The 16396-nt window shown below is 57.8% G+C and overlaps 1 protein-coding gene across 11 annotated transcripts in view, besides 3 other annotated features; it reads left to right on the top strand.

Annotated features, from left to right (window-relative positions):
• Positions 1-16396, top strand: part of STK32C (serine/threonine kinase 32C) — a 124754-nt gene that overhangs the window by 65425 nt on the left and 42933 nt on the right. The gene's annotated exons all lie outside the window — the stretch shown is intronic.
• Positions 1772-2272: an enhancer, noted in NCBI's record as "H3K4me1 hESC enhancer chr10:134078043-134078543 (GRCh37/hg19 assembly coordinates)". NCBI's record gives its function as "activates a minimal SCP1, AML or CMV promoter by ChIP-STARR-seq in naive H9 embryonic stem cells {active_cell/tissue: H9 hESC(naive)}" and the evidence as "EXISTENCE:reporter gene assay evidence [ECO:0000049][PMID:30033119]".
• Positions 11557-12056: an enhancer, noted in NCBI's record as "H3K4me1 hESC enhancer chr10:134068259-134068758 (GRCh37/hg19 assembly coordinates)". NCBI's record gives its function as "activates a minimal SCP1, AML or CMV promoter by ChIP-STARR-seq in primed H9 embryonic stem cells {active_cell/tissue: H9 hESC(primed)}" and the evidence as "EXISTENCE:reporter gene assay evidence [ECO:0000049][PMID:30033119]".
• Positions 12057-12558: an enhancer, noted in NCBI's record as "H3K4me1 hESC enhancer chr10:134067757-134068258 (GRCh37/hg19 assembly coordinates)". NCBI's record gives its function as "activates a minimal SCP1, AML or CMV promoter by ChIP-STARR-seq in primed H9 embryonic stem cells {active_cell/tissue: H9 hESC(primed)}" and the evidence as "EXISTENCE:reporter gene assay evidence [ECO:0000049][PMID:30033119]".

The following is a 16396-nucleotide window of genomic DNA, read 5'->3' as shown; positions in this document are numbered from 1 at the left end:
CCCCACCGGTGGAGCCCCCTCCAGTGCCCTCCTCCCCGAGAGCATTTGTGATCCACTCCTTCCACCCCATGGAGCTAGCCTCCCTTGCCCAGCGCCTCCCCCACCCACGCCCGCGTTCCTTCCTCCCCTCCAGCCCTGGCTCGTTCCTCCCCCAGGGCTCGGGGTTGTCCTGGAGACAAATTGAGGGCTCCTTGGCGTGGGCAGGCCATGTAACCTCAGTGAGCCTCAGTTTCCTGCTGCCAAAGGTAAACACCCATTTCCTGAAATTCAGATAAGATGCCTAAAACGCTTCCACTACAGAATGTCCCTGATCTAGATGATCTATTTATTTGTATTGAGGTATAATTACAGTCAAGGGCACAGATGTGAGTATGCAGATTGATGTTTTGACAGATGGGCACACCTGTGTAACCAAGACCCCCCATGGAGACAGAGAACGTTGTCCTCCTTCTGGAAAGTTCTCTGGGCTCTTTTCCAAGCATCCCCTTCCTACCCCCAGAGACAAACCTGTGCTTCTCACTGTGGATCCGTCCAGCCTGTTCTTGAACTCACACAAACAGAATCGCACGACGCGCTCTTGTAAACCTGGCTTCTTTCCCTCAATGTAACACCTTTGAGATTCATCCACGTGGCTATGGATCGGGAGTTTGTTCCTTTAAAAGAAGTCCCCTAGTGGTATTCCATCGTATGGATATAACATAATTTCTTTATTCATTATCCTCTTGATGGACGTTTGGGTTATTTCCAGTATTTGACTGTTGTAAGGCAGCAAAGCACATTCTTGGGTAGACGTCTGTTTCATTCCTTTTGTGTAAATAGCTAGGAATGGAATTGCCGGGTGGCACAGCAAGTGTATGTTTAACTAAGATGCTGCCTGAGTTTCCCAAGCGGCCGTGCACGGCACCCCCTAACCCCTAGCATGTGGGTCAAGGTGCCCGGTGTCCTTGCCAGGCCTCGCTGCTGTCCCTCTCCCTGGCTGTCCGGGGGGATGGAGGGGGCCCGCGTTGGGTTTTCCTTGTGTTTCCGTGGCGACTAAGGACAGCCTCTCTCCTGTGCTCATTGGCCTTCGGGAGCTTCTCGTCTGTGAAGCATCTGCCTGGGCCTCTTGCCCATCTTTAATGTGCTGCTTGCCATTTATTACTGCCTTGTGTGTGCCCTGGCTGCCTGCGGCTGAATCCTGACCCAGAGCCTTCAGCAGGAAGGAAAGACATTGTCCCGAGCCATGAAAGCGAGAGGCCTCCCAGGGCTGTGCGGGGCTGATGGGCCTGCCCTCCGTCTCTCTGCACCGTGTCCTCTCCTCACACCCAGGCAGGGCCCCAGAGTGCAGTGAGGACCCCACAGGCTCCTCCAGGCTGTGTGTTGCCCTTGCAGCTCTGGTGGTCGCTTCTGCCCTAGTTCCAGAAGCCCAGGACTGGCTCTTCCTGGACACCCTCGCTGTGATGGGCCAGGCCTGGGCTGAGTGTGGCAGGGAGGAGCAGGGGCTGTCATCGAAGGAGAAGAGCCAGTGCCCAGCAGAGTGTCCCCCGGGTGGCTGCAGAGCCCACCTCGCCGCCCTTGCGGCACCCCCAGAGCCACCTCGCTGCCCTGGCAGCTCCCCCAGAGCCCACCTCACTGCCCTTGCGGCTCCCCCAGAGCCACCTCGCCGCCCTGGCAGCTCCCCCAGAGCCCACCTCACTGCCCTTGCGGCACCCCCAGAGCCCACCTCACCGCCCTTGAGGCACCCCCAGAGCCCACCTCACCGCCCTTGCGGCCATGTCTGCTGCTCGCACCTTCTACTGTTCTCATGTTGCAGCAGGTCAGGAAGATGTGTGGCTGTCCTGAATCCTCTGACATCAGGCGGAGTATAAATAAAATACGGGTATGATGGATGAGGCTTGAACTTTTGTGAATTTAACATAGTTTAACGTCTTTCCTAAAGTGAAAGTCAGAATGAAGCGCCCTATTTATTCACATGATTTTTTACGTCTTCCATCAAGGAAAACTGCCATGAGCGACTGTCCCGCCCCCACCTCCCACCGAGGAAACTCGTCTTGAAAAAGAAGACTGTGCTGTCTGCTAGGTCCCACCTCGCTGGCTTTGGGGTGACAGGCCCTGTGGGGGTGTGCCCCATGCGAGCCCCACTAGGTGCTGGTTTGGGGAGTCCTCCTCCCTCCCTGCATCCATGCCCCCCATCAGCTCAAACCCCTCAGGATGGCATCTGGCCCCTCAGCTCCCTGGTGGGAGAGGGTCCTGGAGGGGTCCTGGCCCGGGTCCCTCCTCTCCCTGAGGCCGTTCTTTCACCATCCCCTCTGTCCAGCAGGATGTGCCAGCAGTGCTGGGGTGCAGCACAAAGCTCTGTCCCTTTCTTCCTCAAGGTCCCCAGCTCCCTGTGCGTCCCGCCCACCTAACGCCTACTCCCAGCTCGAGGGGTCCCTGCGGCTCAGTTCTGCCCTGACCACCTTCCCCACCATGTGATGGCATCCACATGGGGCCACCTGATGACCAGGTGTCCCTCCAGGGGGCTGCAGCCTACAGCCAACTGATTGTGGGCCACTTAAATAATTATCTTGTTAATTGAAGTGAAATTCATAGCACACAAAATTAACCACTTTAGAGTGAAGAGTTCCGTGGTGTTTAGTGCATTGACAATGTTGAGAACATACTCTTCACACCACCTCTATCTAACTGCAGGCGCCTCACCAGCCCTAAGGGAGACTCCATGCCTACTGATTACATCCGTCGCCACCGCCTGCCCCAGCTCCTGGCAGCCACCACACTGCCTTCTGTCCCTGGGTCGTGGCACTGGGTATTTCACAGGGACGGAGTCACATGATGCATGAACTCTTGTCTCTGGCTGCCTTCACCTGGCGCTATGTTTCTGTCAGGGTCCTTCCAGCTTGGACCATGTGTCACTGCGCCATGCTTTTTCTTTTTTTATAATCCCAACTTTTTTTTTTTTTTTTTTTGAGATGGAGTCTCGTTCTGTCATCCAGGCTGGAGTGCAGTGGCACAATCTCAGCTCACGGCAGCCTCTGCCTCCCAGGTTCAAGCAGTTCTTATGCCTCAGCCTCCCGAGTAGCTGGGATTACAGGCGTCCACCACCATGCCCAGCTATCTTTTTTTTTTTTGTATTTTTTGTAGAGATGGGGTTTCACCATGTTGGCTAGGTGGGTCTCGAACTCCTGACCTCAGGAGATCCACCTGCCTCTGCCTCCCAAAATGCTGGGATTACATAATCTCAATTTTTATTTTAGATTTGAGGGTGCAGGTTCGTTGCCTGGGTATATTGCGTGATGCTGAGGTTTGGGGTTCAATTGATCCTGTCACCCAAGCACTGAGCATAGTACCCAGTGGCTGGTTTTTCAACCCTTGACTCCTCCTCTTCTCCCCTGCCTCGCAGTCCCGGTGTCCATTGTTCCTGTCTTTATGTCCACGTGTGCCCAGTGGTTAGCTCCCACCTACACATGAGGACATGTGGTATTGAGTTTTCTGTTCCTGCATTAAGTCGCTTAGGATTATGGCCTCCAGCTGCATCCATGTTGCCACAGAGGCCATAATCTTGCTCTTTTTTACGATTGTGTGATATGCCATGGTGTATAGGTACTGCGTTTTCTTTATCCAGTCCACCGTGGATGGGCACCTGGGTTGATTCACGTCATTGCTGTTGTGATTAGCACCACAATGAACACACGAATGCGCGTGTCTTTTTGGTAGAACGATTTGTTTTCTTTTGGATACGTACCCATAATGGGATTGCTGGATCAAATGGTAGTTCTATATTTTTTGAGAAATCTTCAAACTGCTTTCCACAGTGGCTGAACTAATTTAGATTCCCACTAATAGTGTATAAGCGTTTGTTCTCTTTTCTCTGCAGTCTTGCCAGCATCTGTTGTTTTATGACTTTTTAATAACAGTCGTCCTGACTGGTGTGAGATGGTGTCTCATTGTGGCTTTGACTTGCATTTCTCTGATGATTAGTGATGTGGGGCATGTTTTTCATATGCTTGTTGGCCATTTGGATCTGCTGTTGAAAAGTGTCTGTTCATGTATTTTACCTGTTTTTTTTTTTTTTTTTTTTGAGATGGAGTCTCACTCTTGTCACCAGGCCGGAGTACAGTGGTGTGATCTCCTGACCTCGTGATCCACACACCTCAGCCTCCCAAAGTGCTGGGATTACAGGCGTGAGCCACTGTGCCCAGCTGTATCTTACCCGTTTTTTAATAGGTTTATTTGTTTGTTGCTTGTTCAGTTGTTTAAGTTCCTTGTAGATTCTGGTTATTAGAACTTTGTCAGATGCGTAGTTTGTGAATATTTTCTCCCTGTTTGTAGGTTTTCTGTTTCTTCTGTTGATGGTTTCTCTTGCCGTGCAGAAGCTCTTTAGCTTAATTAGGTTCCACTTGTCACATTTCGTTTTTATGGAAATTGCTTTTGAGGACTTAGTCATAAATTCTTTCCAAGGCTGGTGTCAAGAAGGGTGTTTTCTGCTTTTCTCCTAGAACTTTTATAGTTTGAGGTCTTACATTTCAGTCTTTGTCTTGAGTTAATTTTTGTATATGGTGAAAAGCAGAAGTCCAGCTTCATTCTTCCTCATGTGGCTCGCCGGCTCTCCCAGCACCATTTATTGAATGGGGAGTCCTTTCCCCATTGCTTGATTTTGTCAGCTTTGTCGAAGATCAGATGGTTGTAGGTGTGCAGCCTTAATTTGGGGTTTTCTATTCTGCTCCATTGGTCTATGTGTCTGTTTTTGTACCAGTGCCATGCTGTTTTGGTTACTTTGGCCCTGTAGTAGAGTTTGAAGTCCAGTAATGTGATGCCCCCAGCTTTGTTCTTTTTTCTTAGGATCGCTTTGGCTATTTGAGCTCATTTTTGGTTGCATGTGAATTTTAGCATAGTTTTTCCTGTTTCTGTGAAAAATGACTTTGTAGTTTGATAGGAGGAGCATTGAATCAGTAGATTACTTTGGGCAGTATGGCCATTTTAACAATATTGATTCTGCCAATCTGTTAGCATGGGATGCATTTCCACTGGTTTGTGTCATCTCTGACTTCTTTTTTATTTTATTTTTTTGAGACAGACTGTCTCTCCGTTGCCCAGGCTGGAGTGCAGTGGTGCAATCTTGGCTCACTGCAACCTCTGCCTGCCGGGCTCAAGCAATTCTTGTGCCTCAGCCTCCTGACTAGCTGGGATTACAGGTGTGCACCACCATGCCTGACTAATTTTCTGTATTTTAATAGAGACAGGGTTTTACCGTGTTGTCCAGGCTGGTCTCAAACTCCTGACCTCAGGTGATCCACCTGCCTTGGCCTCCCAAAGTGCTGGGATTATAGGTGTGAGCCACCGTGCCCGGCCCCTGATTTCTATCCGCAGTATTTTGTAGTTCCCCTTGTAGAGCTCTTTCATCTCCTTGGTTAGGTGTATTCCTGGGTATTGTATTTTATTTTTTGGCTGTTGTAAATGGGATTGTATTCTTGATTTGGTTCTCAGCTTGAATGTTATTGGTGTATAAAAATGCTGTGGATTGTTGTATGTTGGTTCTGTATCCTGAAACTTTACTGAGGTCGTTTGTCAGTTCCAGGCGCCTCATTCCTTCCCCGGGGAGATTCTCCAGCCACCTGGCAACTCCACAGCCTCCCCATGGGAAGCAGTGATCATCTCCAAGGCCTAAGCTCGTAGTCCCCGAGTCCTCCGCATGGGAAGCAGTGATCGTCTCCAAGGCCTAAGCTCGTAGTCCCCGAGTCCTCCCCATGGGAAGCAGTGATCGTCTCCAAGGCCTAAGCTCGTAGTCCCTGAGGCCTGTGGGAGGTCGGGATGCCAGTCGGACAGCTTCCCCCAGCCCCAGGGGCTGGACTGAGCGGAGGTAGAGCTCTGTGGGCTAGGGGCCTGCTGGGGGCCCGCATGAGCGTCCTGACGGGGTTCTGGGAGGGAGGGTCTGGCAGCGCTGACCTCGCAGCCTGTCCCCTGTGCTCCTGCTGGGCCTTGGCACGTCCAGGGGCCCCCAGGTGCCACTGTGGTGTTGGGCGTGGGCTTTAACTGGGCCCTGTCTCGCCCCTCTCCCTGCCCCTCCAGGTGGTGATGGGCACGTGGTGAAGCAATGCCCACCCGGCCACTGGTGGCATCCATGAGCACTGCATGGGGCACAGACTCGATCACGGGGCCCTGGGTGCAGAATAGTGGGGTGTGCCTCATGGGTATCTGCTGGCCCCTGCTTGCAGGTGGGCCGAGGAAGCAGAGCAGTCCCCTTGAATGACACAGTCCGAAGGTGAGGGTCTGGGAAGCAGCCCCCTGCAACACCCAGGACCCGACAACGGTGCCCAGCATCCCAAGACCGGGGCCTGTGTGTCCGGTGGGAGGGTATGGGAGGGCGCTGGGGCTTGGGGTGGAGCCCATTCCCTGGCACACAGGAGCTGGTGGAGGCAGAGGGGCCGCAGGGGTGGATTTCGCGCTGGCTCCGGCTTGGCCTCCTGCCTCTTCCGTGCAGTTGGCTCTCAGTGGTGCCGTGTCCTTGTCTCCAAGCCGGACACCTGCGAGGACCCCGGGCCGGACTCTGGGGGTGGGCTTTGGTACATTCCCCAGTGGCTGAGCAGGGCCAGGGGCCAGGCGGAGGCTGAGGCCATTGCTGTCCCTGACAACGTGGCTGGGAGGACGTGTCAGTGTCTCCTCAACCTGAACAGTTATTTCTGGGGACAGCTTTGATTCCAGGGTCCCTGAGCCAGGTGACCCTCTCTCAACATCATCAGGGTTTAGCTTGGATTTTTTTTTTTCCTGAACCAGACTTTACACAGCGTGCATTTGTGGCATGTGTGCATGGGGCCTCCGTGATGCGTGCGCTCTGCCCTTGGTCTGGAGCCCATGTAGAACACTCACCCATAACAGGAAACCATGGCAACAACCCCTGCCCTGCGAAGCCCGATGGGCTTATTCAGGCCAGTTGAAAACACACAGTTCCTTCATTCAGGCAACCGGCCCTGTGAGGGCACATCCCAGAAAGTGTGTAGCGAGTGTCACAGGGAAACTGCAGGGGCCGCTCCGGAATGCCGGCCATGGTTTCCTGAGATGGTGGTTATTAGTCCGTTTTCGCATTGCTAGAACTACCTGAGACTGGGTAATAATTTATAAAGAAAAGAGGTTTAATGGACTCACTTCTGCAGGCTGTACAGGAAGCCTGGCTGGGAGGCCTCAGGAAACTTACAGTCATGGTGGAAGGCCAAGGGGAGGCCAGCACGTTCTCATGGCTGGAGCAGGTAGAAGAGAGTGGAGGGGAAGTGACACACACTTTCAGACGCCCAGATCTCATGAGAACTCACTATCACGAGAACAGCAAGGGGGAACTCCACCCCATGATCCAGTCACCTCCCACCAGGACCCTCCTCCAACACTGATCTCGTGAGAACTCACTATCACGAGAACAGCAAGGGGGATCTCCGCCCCGTTGACCCAGTCACCTCCCACCAGGACCCTCCTCCAACACTGGGGATGACAATTCAGCATGAGATTTGGGTGGGGACATAGAGCCAAACCATATCAGGGAGTTACATCTTACATGAGATTTGGGTGGGAACACAGAGCCAAACCATGTCAGGAAGTTACATCTTACCCTGGATGGAAGGAGGGTCCTGCAGGGCCCATTTTCCCACCTGCCCCAGGGCTTGGAGGCTGGGATGGGGAAGGTGCACATGAGGGTGAGAATGGTTGGCTATGGCCCTGTTCATGCCCCCAGCTGTGCCCCAGTACCCGGTGCAGCAGCCTCCCAAGCCACAGCCCTGTCCATGCCCCCAGCTGTGCCCCCAGTACCCGGTGCAGCAGCCTCCCAAGCTATAGCCCTGTTCATGTGTTGTCGAGTGAATGCTTTTAGTTGGAGATGATATTTTCCTACCATTTGCCATTAGCATTTCTAGGATAAAATTCCTTCCTGATGAACTGGTCATCCTCAACCCCCGTCTGCCCACGGGCGGAGACCTTCATGTTGTGGAAGAGGCCATGCCCTGGAGGCCCTCGCAGCCCCTCCTCGGCACTGTGGTGTTTGGGGATCCTCATCCGGCCCTGAGGTGTGCGACCGTGTGGCCTGGGCCCGCTCAGGAGGGGCAGTGGGAATACGTGTGAGTCCAGAAGCAGCTCCTTTCCAGGGCCTGCTGGCCCTCACAGCGTCAGCGTGGACAGCAGTCGGTACCCAGGGCGTTAGGTGCCCAGAGGACCGGCTGTGAGCCCGCCGCCCTGTTCCTGTTCGGTGGGCTGGGAGGAATTCCAGAGGAAGGCCTGCGCGCTGGCCCAGCCACCCGGGAGAGCGCATTGGACCTGTCCTTCCAGGAGAACGCGCTGGCCTAGGCACCCAGGAGAGCGCACTGGACCCGTCCTGAGGATGACACGGGCTCCACCTGTCCTTTGCAAAGAGCCCTGGAAGGGCCCCGTGGGGGGTGATGGGGGGCGGCCAGGGCCACGCTTTCCATTTTAGGAAAAGGAGGCTGTGAGGAACTCTTCGAGTGCTGTTGATGGTTTGGGGAAAGGTGCTTTCCACTCTACCAAGTGCTAATGTGTGTGAAAATCAGACTGGAGCTCATGCCACCTTGGAGCAAAGCTCCCGCTGTGCCCGGCAGACACCTGCCCAGCCTTGGCAGCTGGGCCCTCTTGCCTGTCCACTGCAGATCCAGGAGAGGCAGCTGCCCCCCTCTCTAGGTCAGGTCAGGGCCGATGTCCTGGGGCTGGGACACTTGCTGTTGCTCCCGGGGAGGTCCTGGGGGGCCACTCAGCCGGCATTCATCAGCACATGTGTGTGATGGGGTGACAAGGACAGGGACAGTGAGGGCACTTGGGACATGGAGCCCTTCGTCCTGACCGATTTCCCGGGGCAGGTGGAGTCCGTGCACTGAGGAGAGCCTTGCTGGTCTTTGCAGCCCATGTCAGGGCCTGTGGCTTTCAGGGGCCTGCTGGGCCGCGGCCTCCTTTGGGCCTCAGGCAGGCTGCACAGTGGAGGCTCGAGAGCCCTGAGTCCCACCTGCAGGTGTAGAGGAGCCCCCAGCCCAGGGCAGCTGATGGGTCCCCTGGGGGTGTTTGGTTCTGGGGCCCCCTCCTAGTGTCTGCAGAGGGGCCTGGTGGAGGGTGGGGGTTGGGGGGAGGATTGTGGGGGTGTCAGGCCTGGGATTGCCATCATTGGCTCACAGTGGGCGCCCCTGGGGACAGAGGCAGAGAGAGGGCAGGGCAGGGGGCCGGCAGCAGGGGGTGGGCACCAGATGGGGTGGACAGGGGTGATGTGGCTTTCTGTGCCAGAACAGGCAGCATCCTGCCACCCACTCCTTCGCAGCTCCGCCCCGCCCATCTCTTTGGCTGGGGGGTGTGATGCTCCCTCCCTGCTCTGAGTCACTCCTCCTCCAGCTCTGCCCCTCTCCCTGGGAGCTCTCAGGCACCCTGAATGACCACAGCCCGCTGGCCTAGGGGCCTGTGGCTGCCAGGAGCCACCTCTTCCTAGGAGCCCCTCCGTCTCCCTCTGTGGGAGACAGTGGCACGGGTGTGGGAGGGCTGTGCAGGACCCCAGGGGCTGCAGGTGGGAGGATGGAAGGACAGACACGTGGACAGGGCTTTTTCCAGCCTTGACCCACCCACACACCTACCCATCTCGTGCTGGCCTCTGAACACACTGACCTCTGGGGTCTTTCAGGGCATGTCCTGTATCCACAGGCCTCACCCCCCTGAGGACCCAGCCTCATGGGCAGCCCCCAGCTGGTCCCACAGCGAGCCCTGAGTGTGGCCCTTGGTGCAGCCACACCCCAGGACACAGGGCCCTGCCCATCCATCTGCTCCTGGCCAGGGCTCCTTCCTGGGCTGTTCTGCTTTGATCCCCAGCCCTGGGATCCCACTGGGCTCGCTCCCCCTCATCCAGTGCTGCTGCTGCTGTGGCCAGCGTCCCCCCCACTGGCTAGGCACACCTGCCTCAGGGTTCAGGACTCAGGAGGAACCCCAAGCCCCACCCCGAGTCAGGGCTGTCTCCATTGCAGCTCCGGGGTCCCCAAGCATCTGTGCCTCTGGGCGGGCAGCCCCAGGAGCAGGCTTCTCAGCTGCTGCAGGGCCAGGCGGCCTTGGAGTCCTCCAGGTCTGCCCCTGTGGGTGGTCCTGGGGTGCTGGGCCCTGCGCAGTGAGAGGCAGGGGTGGGTGGGGCCGGGCCTTGGACAGTAGGACCCCTCTAGGCAGCCTGGGGGGAGGTGCTGCTGCCCACCTCTCCAGCGGTTTGGGGAGCTGGAGGAGCCCAGGTCCCTGCTGCCGTGGGCGACTCCTGCGGTCTCAGGCACTGCGGTCTCAGGCCTGAGCCTCTGCCACCCGGAGATACTGTATTGATCAGGCGGTTGCCCTAATCACTCATTTATGGCAGATCCCCGTGTTGTCTGAGGATGTCGATATTAAACACCGGAACATGATTCCAGACAATTTCAGACCAGACAGGACCAGGATCCACAGTGCTGGCCTGGGAAGCTGCCACTGAGCCTGTTTTATGGGTGGAAGCTTTCACTGCAATTAAGGTGGGGGAGGGAGATGGCAAGAATGCTGCCGCCAACAGGGTCCTGCTGGAGGTGTAGGCACCAGGACCCCGGGCTCTGGGTGTGTACCTGGGCAGGAGAAGCCACAATTGTTTCGGAGCCCAGGGGCCCCACAGGACTCAGCTGTGGGCTGCTGCCACATCCTGGCTGTGTCTGTTTCACAGAAAAGACAGGGTGAGGGCATCGCTGCCAAGATGGAGCCTGGGGCACAGGGTATGTTCCCAGAGTAAGACCCCAGTTGGCTCCCCGAGGCTGGAAGGGTGGTGGTGCCAGCTGAGGACAGAGCCCTGTCCCGGAGCTGCCCAGGGATGCCGGGAAGCCGCCAAGCCACCCGGGCGAGTCCAAGCTGGACACCAGGGCTCCAGGGTGTGCAGAGGCTGCAGGCTGCTGGTCATGGGGGTCTGCCCCTGGGTGAGGGGACGGTGGAGAAGGAGAAGGTGGCCAGCTGGGCCCTCGGAGATGCGTGGGCAGCGCACGTAATGCTGGGCCATGGTGCTGGCACCCAGGCATGACCTCGAGGCTCCAGGCCCCCTCTGGACTGAGGAGTCCAGGGTCAGAGGCCGGCACCCACACCCTCATCCCCTCTCCTGATCTCTGACCTTCCTGCCCTGGGGTTTCAACACATCCTCAGTGGTGCAGGAAACCGCGTGGGGCTCAGCAAGGGTTGAGGGACCTGCTTCCTGCAGGGCCCCCTGCTCCTCTCCTGGGTGCTGCTGTGGCTGGACGCTTCTGCTCTATGTTCTCCGCTGTAACTCGGGAGCCTCCTCACCCCTGCCCAGCGGCTCTCATGCCTGTCTCTAGCCCCCACCTGTCTTGTCCCCATCTGCGTCAACCCTGCCCGTCAGCGTGGTGGGTCTTTGTTCCCGCAGGCCATGGCAAGAGGGTGAGGGGTCTGTGAGGTGATGTCTGGTGACTCCTGTGGTTCCTGTTGACCTAGCGGGCCAGGGCACCTGAGGAGTGGGAGTGGGGGGCACCCATTGCCAGGAGGAGCTATCGGGCCGGTTCCAACTCTTCCACCTGGCCCGGTATTTCCTAAGTCAGGAGCCCCGTGTGGGCCAGACATCCCCAGAGGCTGCACAAGCTCTGCGGGGCCTGCGTCTCGGAGTCCTGGGGGATGATTTTCCTCATCATAAGCACTTCCCAGGTCATAGGAGACGAGACGGCATTTAATCAACTTCTGCGTGTGTTTCAACCACGTGTGACATTTGATCTTTGTGACAGCTCTCACAGTAGTGCCCACTTCTGCTGTGCAATCCTCCCATTGGTGAACGGGCTGGTTCTGCCTGAGGACACTTGGACGTGGGGGCCTCTTCCGGATGAGTGGGTGGGGTGGGCTGTGAAGGGAAGCGTCCCAGGCCTGGGACACGCCTGCAGCTGTGGGCAGCTCATCCACCACGTGGCAGCTCTGAAACTGTCCAGCACCCACTTCCCGGGCCTCCAAAGACATCAAGAGGGGACCTGGGGTGTCAGGAGCAGAGCTGATTCTCCAGCTCTTGAGACAGCCTTCGCGTGGGGTGCACGCATTGTGCCGGGGTGACATAGTGCTGATTCCCGGCGCCCTGCGGCAGGCTTATTTTACTCTCCTGGGCTCCCAGGTCTGGGGGCAGCCTTCGTGGAGGGTGCACGCATTGTGCCGGGGTGACATAGTGCTGATTCCCGGCGCCCTGCGGCAGGCTTATTTTACTCTCCTGGGCTCCCAGGTCTGGGGGCAGCCTTCGTGGAGGGTGCACGCATTGTGCCGGGGTGACATAGTGCTGACTCCCGGCACCCTGCGGCAGGCTTATTTTACTCTCCTGGGCTCCCAGGTCTGGGGGCAGCCTTCGTGGAGGGTGCACGCATTGTGCCGGGGTGACATAGTGCTGATTCCCGGCGCCCTGCGGCAGGCTTATTTTACTCTCCTCTCTTCTTTTGCTGTCCTCATTGGGAGTATTTTCTTACCAGTTTTGATACAAGCCCTGGCTTATGAAAAGGCTATTTTTTTTTGTTGTTTTTTTCTCCCCTGATGGAGTTTCGCCCTTTTTGCCCAGGCTGGAGTGCAGAGGCGCGATCTTGGCTCACTGCAACCTCTGCCTCCCGGGTTCATGCCGTTCTCCTGCCTCAGCCTCCTGAGTAGCTGGGATTACAGGCGCCCGCCACTATGCCTGGCTAATTTTTTGTATTTTTAGTAGAGACGGGGTTTCACCATGTTGGCAAGGATGGTCTCGATCTCCTGACCTCGTGATCCACCTGCCTCGGCCTCCCTAAGTGCTGGGATTACAGGCATGAGCCACCGCGCCCTGCCTGAAAAGACTAGGTTTTAACCTGAAACTCCACTGAGGCTTTGGGCTTTCCTAACATGGTTTGTTATTGGAAGTGCTCTTTCTATGCCCATGTGGGCCAGCCACTCAGCCGAGTGCTAGACGCAGAGGCGGGTCCCTGCAGGGCGGGAGGAAGGTTCTAGCCAGGCACACGGGAGGGCAGATCATTTTTTATTCTTGGGGAAAAGTGTTGAAATGTTACCTAACGCTTTTGCCTTGGACTTGGTGGTAGCCATGCCAGAGGTGACGTCTTGGCCATCTCTCGCCTCGAGCCGGTGTTTGGCCTTAGATGTGCTGTGGAGGGGCGGCTCCCTCAGCTCCCTCAGCTCCGCAGGCTCCCTGGACTCCCTCTAGCTCTCTCGACTCCCTCCAGCTCCCTCAGCTCCCTCCAGCTCCCTCGGCTCCCTCCAGCTCCCTCGGCTCCCTCCAGCTCCCTCCAGCTCCCTCGACTCCCTCCAGCTCCCTCGACTCCCTCCAGCTCCCTCCGGCTCCCTCAGCTCCCTCAGCTCCCTCGACTCCCTCCAGCTCCCTCGACTCCCTCCAGCTCCCTCCAGTTCCCTCGACTCCCTCCAGCTCCCTCGACTCCCTCCAGCTCCCTCCAGCTCCCTCGACTCCCTCCAGCTACCTCGGCTCCCCAGGCTCCCTTGACTCTCTCCAGCTCCCTCGGCTCCCTCCAGCTCCCTCTGCTCCCTCCAGCTTCCTTTTGCCCGGTTCCAGTTCCCAGGCCCGGCAGGACCTTCCAGGCAGACATGTGGTTGGGCCACCTGTGCTGGCAACCCAGAAACCAGAAACAATTGCGTTGGAGTGCTGCTTTCCGGAAAAGCTCCTTGCCTTTTCTTTGGTTATTTTGTTGCTCCTGGTAAGCCTGGAGATGGTGGCAAAACTCTCTGAGAACAGGGAAATGCTGCGTTAGGGAGGACGAACGTCCCTGCTGTCTGGGTGCTGGGCTTAGCGCTGACAAGTCTCAAGAGAACCTATCTCTGATTGTGGGGCCTGGTTCAGGGACTGAGACCCCAGCTAGCAGCCCTTGGGGAGGACCTGGAGAGGCTGCCGGACACCGTGGGAGGTGTGGGGGCTGGTGTTGGTTTCTCAACCCACCTGTGTGGATGCAGAATCCAGAGTGACCTGGGAGGAGGCGGCCCCACGCTCGGGTCACTTAGCGGGATTCAGATGGCGACTCTCATAGGACCTGCTCTCAGTTGCCAACACCAAAAAAATAAAAGCCTTCCTTGAAGAATAAATATTTTAAAGACCCTGGATTCGAATGCATTTGCTGTACTGGGAAGACTGTGTCTGTGGCCCTTTGGCCAAGCTGCACAATGAGGGCAGGTGCTGGTGGGCCCGGAGCTCCGAGCCGCTCCGTCCATCCCACGCCCGCCGTTGGGTGCACACAAGTACAGAGGTGCTTCCTTCAGGCAGATGTGTCCTGGTTCCTGGGAAGGAGCCCCCTAGCTGTGAGATGGGATTGTGGGGAGCTGCGTCTGCTTCTCCTTTTACCTGCGTCTTAATTTGAGAGGTGGACAGCACGGGTGAAGGATGCGCTGACAGCATCACTGCACGGCGTAAATCACGCCGAGGAGCGTGACAGACCAGTCTTGGTCCCCGTAATCACGACCCATGCCCACACTTCTTTGCCAAATGTCCCCTTCAGAAATGTCTCCCGACGGCCTTGTAGGATGGCAGCCCCCTCCCCCTTTCCTGCTTTAGCCCCCTCCCTGGCACCTGGTGCCACACTGTGGGCTTGTTGAGTGTTTCCCCCACACTGAAGAGTTCACTCCAGGAGGTTGTCTCCCTCCTTCCTGGGTCTGGAATGGGCCTGGCCAGCGGTTCATGTGGTGACCTCTGACCTTGGCTGGTTAGCAGGCCGCCATGTCCCTAGCGGGTTCTTGGCCAGAGACTTCTGATCAGACAGTGCCAAAGTCCAGCCCTGAGGGGCCCAGCAGGATGAGATGGGGATGTGAGGGGGAGGCGTGGGTCGGAGGCCCCAGGAGGCATAGGGCATTGACCTGCCTGTGGTGAGTAGTGGAGGGTCTGAGGCCCCAGGAGGCGTAGGGCATTGACCTGCCTGTGGTGGGTAGTGGAGGGTCTGAGGCCCCAGGAGGCGTAGGGCATCGACCTGCCTGTGGTGAGTAGTGGAGGGTCTGAGGCCCCAGGAGGCGTAGGGCATTGACCTGCCTGTGGTGGGTAGTGGAGGGTCTGAGGCCCCAGGAGGCGTAGGGCATTGACCTGCCTGTGGTGGGTAGTGGAGGGTCGGAGGCCCCAGGAGGTGTAGGGTGTTGACCTGCCTGTGGTGGGTAGTGGAGGGTCGGAGGCCCCAGGAGGCATAGGGTGTTGACCTGCCTGTGGTGGGTAGTGGAGGGTTTGCATTCAGGGCTCAACCCCCAGAAGCCAGAGTCGATCTGAGGTGGGCACCCACCACCCTCTTGGGGTGCTCACCCAAGTCCTGAGGGGCTGAGTGTGGGGCGAGGTGGGGTAAAGAGATGGTGTGGGGGCTCCTATGCCCCCCCTTCCCAGGGCCACAGGGCTCCTCGGCCGTTCACAGTAGGCTCTGTGTATAAGGAAGGGACCATGCCCACTCCCCTCTGAGGCCCAGATCAAGTGACATGACCCCAACCCTTTGCACACCCACTCCTTCTGGGAGCCTGTCCGGCTTCCTCGGTGACCAGGGCTGCCCATGGCACCACCACGCAGACCCGTCCCTCTGCTCCCTCTCCTCCCATTGCAGGGGCCTGGCCTCTGCCCCCTCCACGGGCCCCCATGAGAGCGGACTTGGGACTAGGCGAAACTGGGTAGGGCCTGGGAGCAGATTCATGGCCTGGGGACCCAGTAGCTGGGGTCACCCCTGCTGTTGGGTGACCACATGGTGGCTCCTAGACCCCCAGGCCGGTCCTGTGGCAGATAGGAGGCAGATGTGTGGGGCCTGGGGCTCAGGGCTCCTTGGGGGTGACCCCAGGGATGGTGGGGTCCTGCTGGGACATCCCTGGCTCCCCTAATGCTCCATAGGCCCCACCCAGGCCTCTGCTATGCAGACCGCCACTGTACCCTCCCACTGGCAGAGGAGGAAACTGAGGCCCCAAGGAGGTGGGCGTGGAGGTGGCCTGCATGGAGCCCACCATGAGGCAGGGATTGGTTTTGGGGGCTCTGAGTGCAGCGTTGGCCTCTTGCCCAGCTTGGAACCTTCCTCCTCTCTGGGGACCAGACGTTGACCTTTGCCTAGAACGGTCTCCGACTTCCGTGCTGCCGATGGAAAGCCAGGCGGAGACGTGGAAGGTTCAGGAACACTTGCCCGGGTCTCCTCTCTGCAATGACCTGTCCCGGGCACCTCACACACACCTGCACTCGGGGCGGGGCCCCTCTCTGCAGTGACCTGTCCCGGGCACCTCACACCCACCTGCCTCGGGGCGGAGCCCCTCTCTGCAGTGACCTGTCCCGTGCGCCTCACACACACCTGCCCTCTCCTCTCTGCAGTGACCTGTCCCGTGCGCCTCACACACACCTGCCCTCTCCTCTCTGCAGTGACCTGTCCCGTGCGCCTCACACACACCTGCCCTCTCCTCTCTGCAGTGACCTGTCCCGTGCGCCTCACACACACCTGCC

Source organism: Homo sapiens, chromosome 10 (genome assembly GCF_000001405.40).
Source record: "Homo sapiens chromosome 10, GRCh38.p14 Primary Assembly".
NCBI classification, from domain to species: Eukaryota; Metazoa; Chordata; class Mammalia; order Primates; family Hominidae; genus Homo; species Homo sapiens.
Note: the sequence above shows the minus strand (reverse complement) of the source record. Positions and strands in the feature narration are given on the sequence as shown.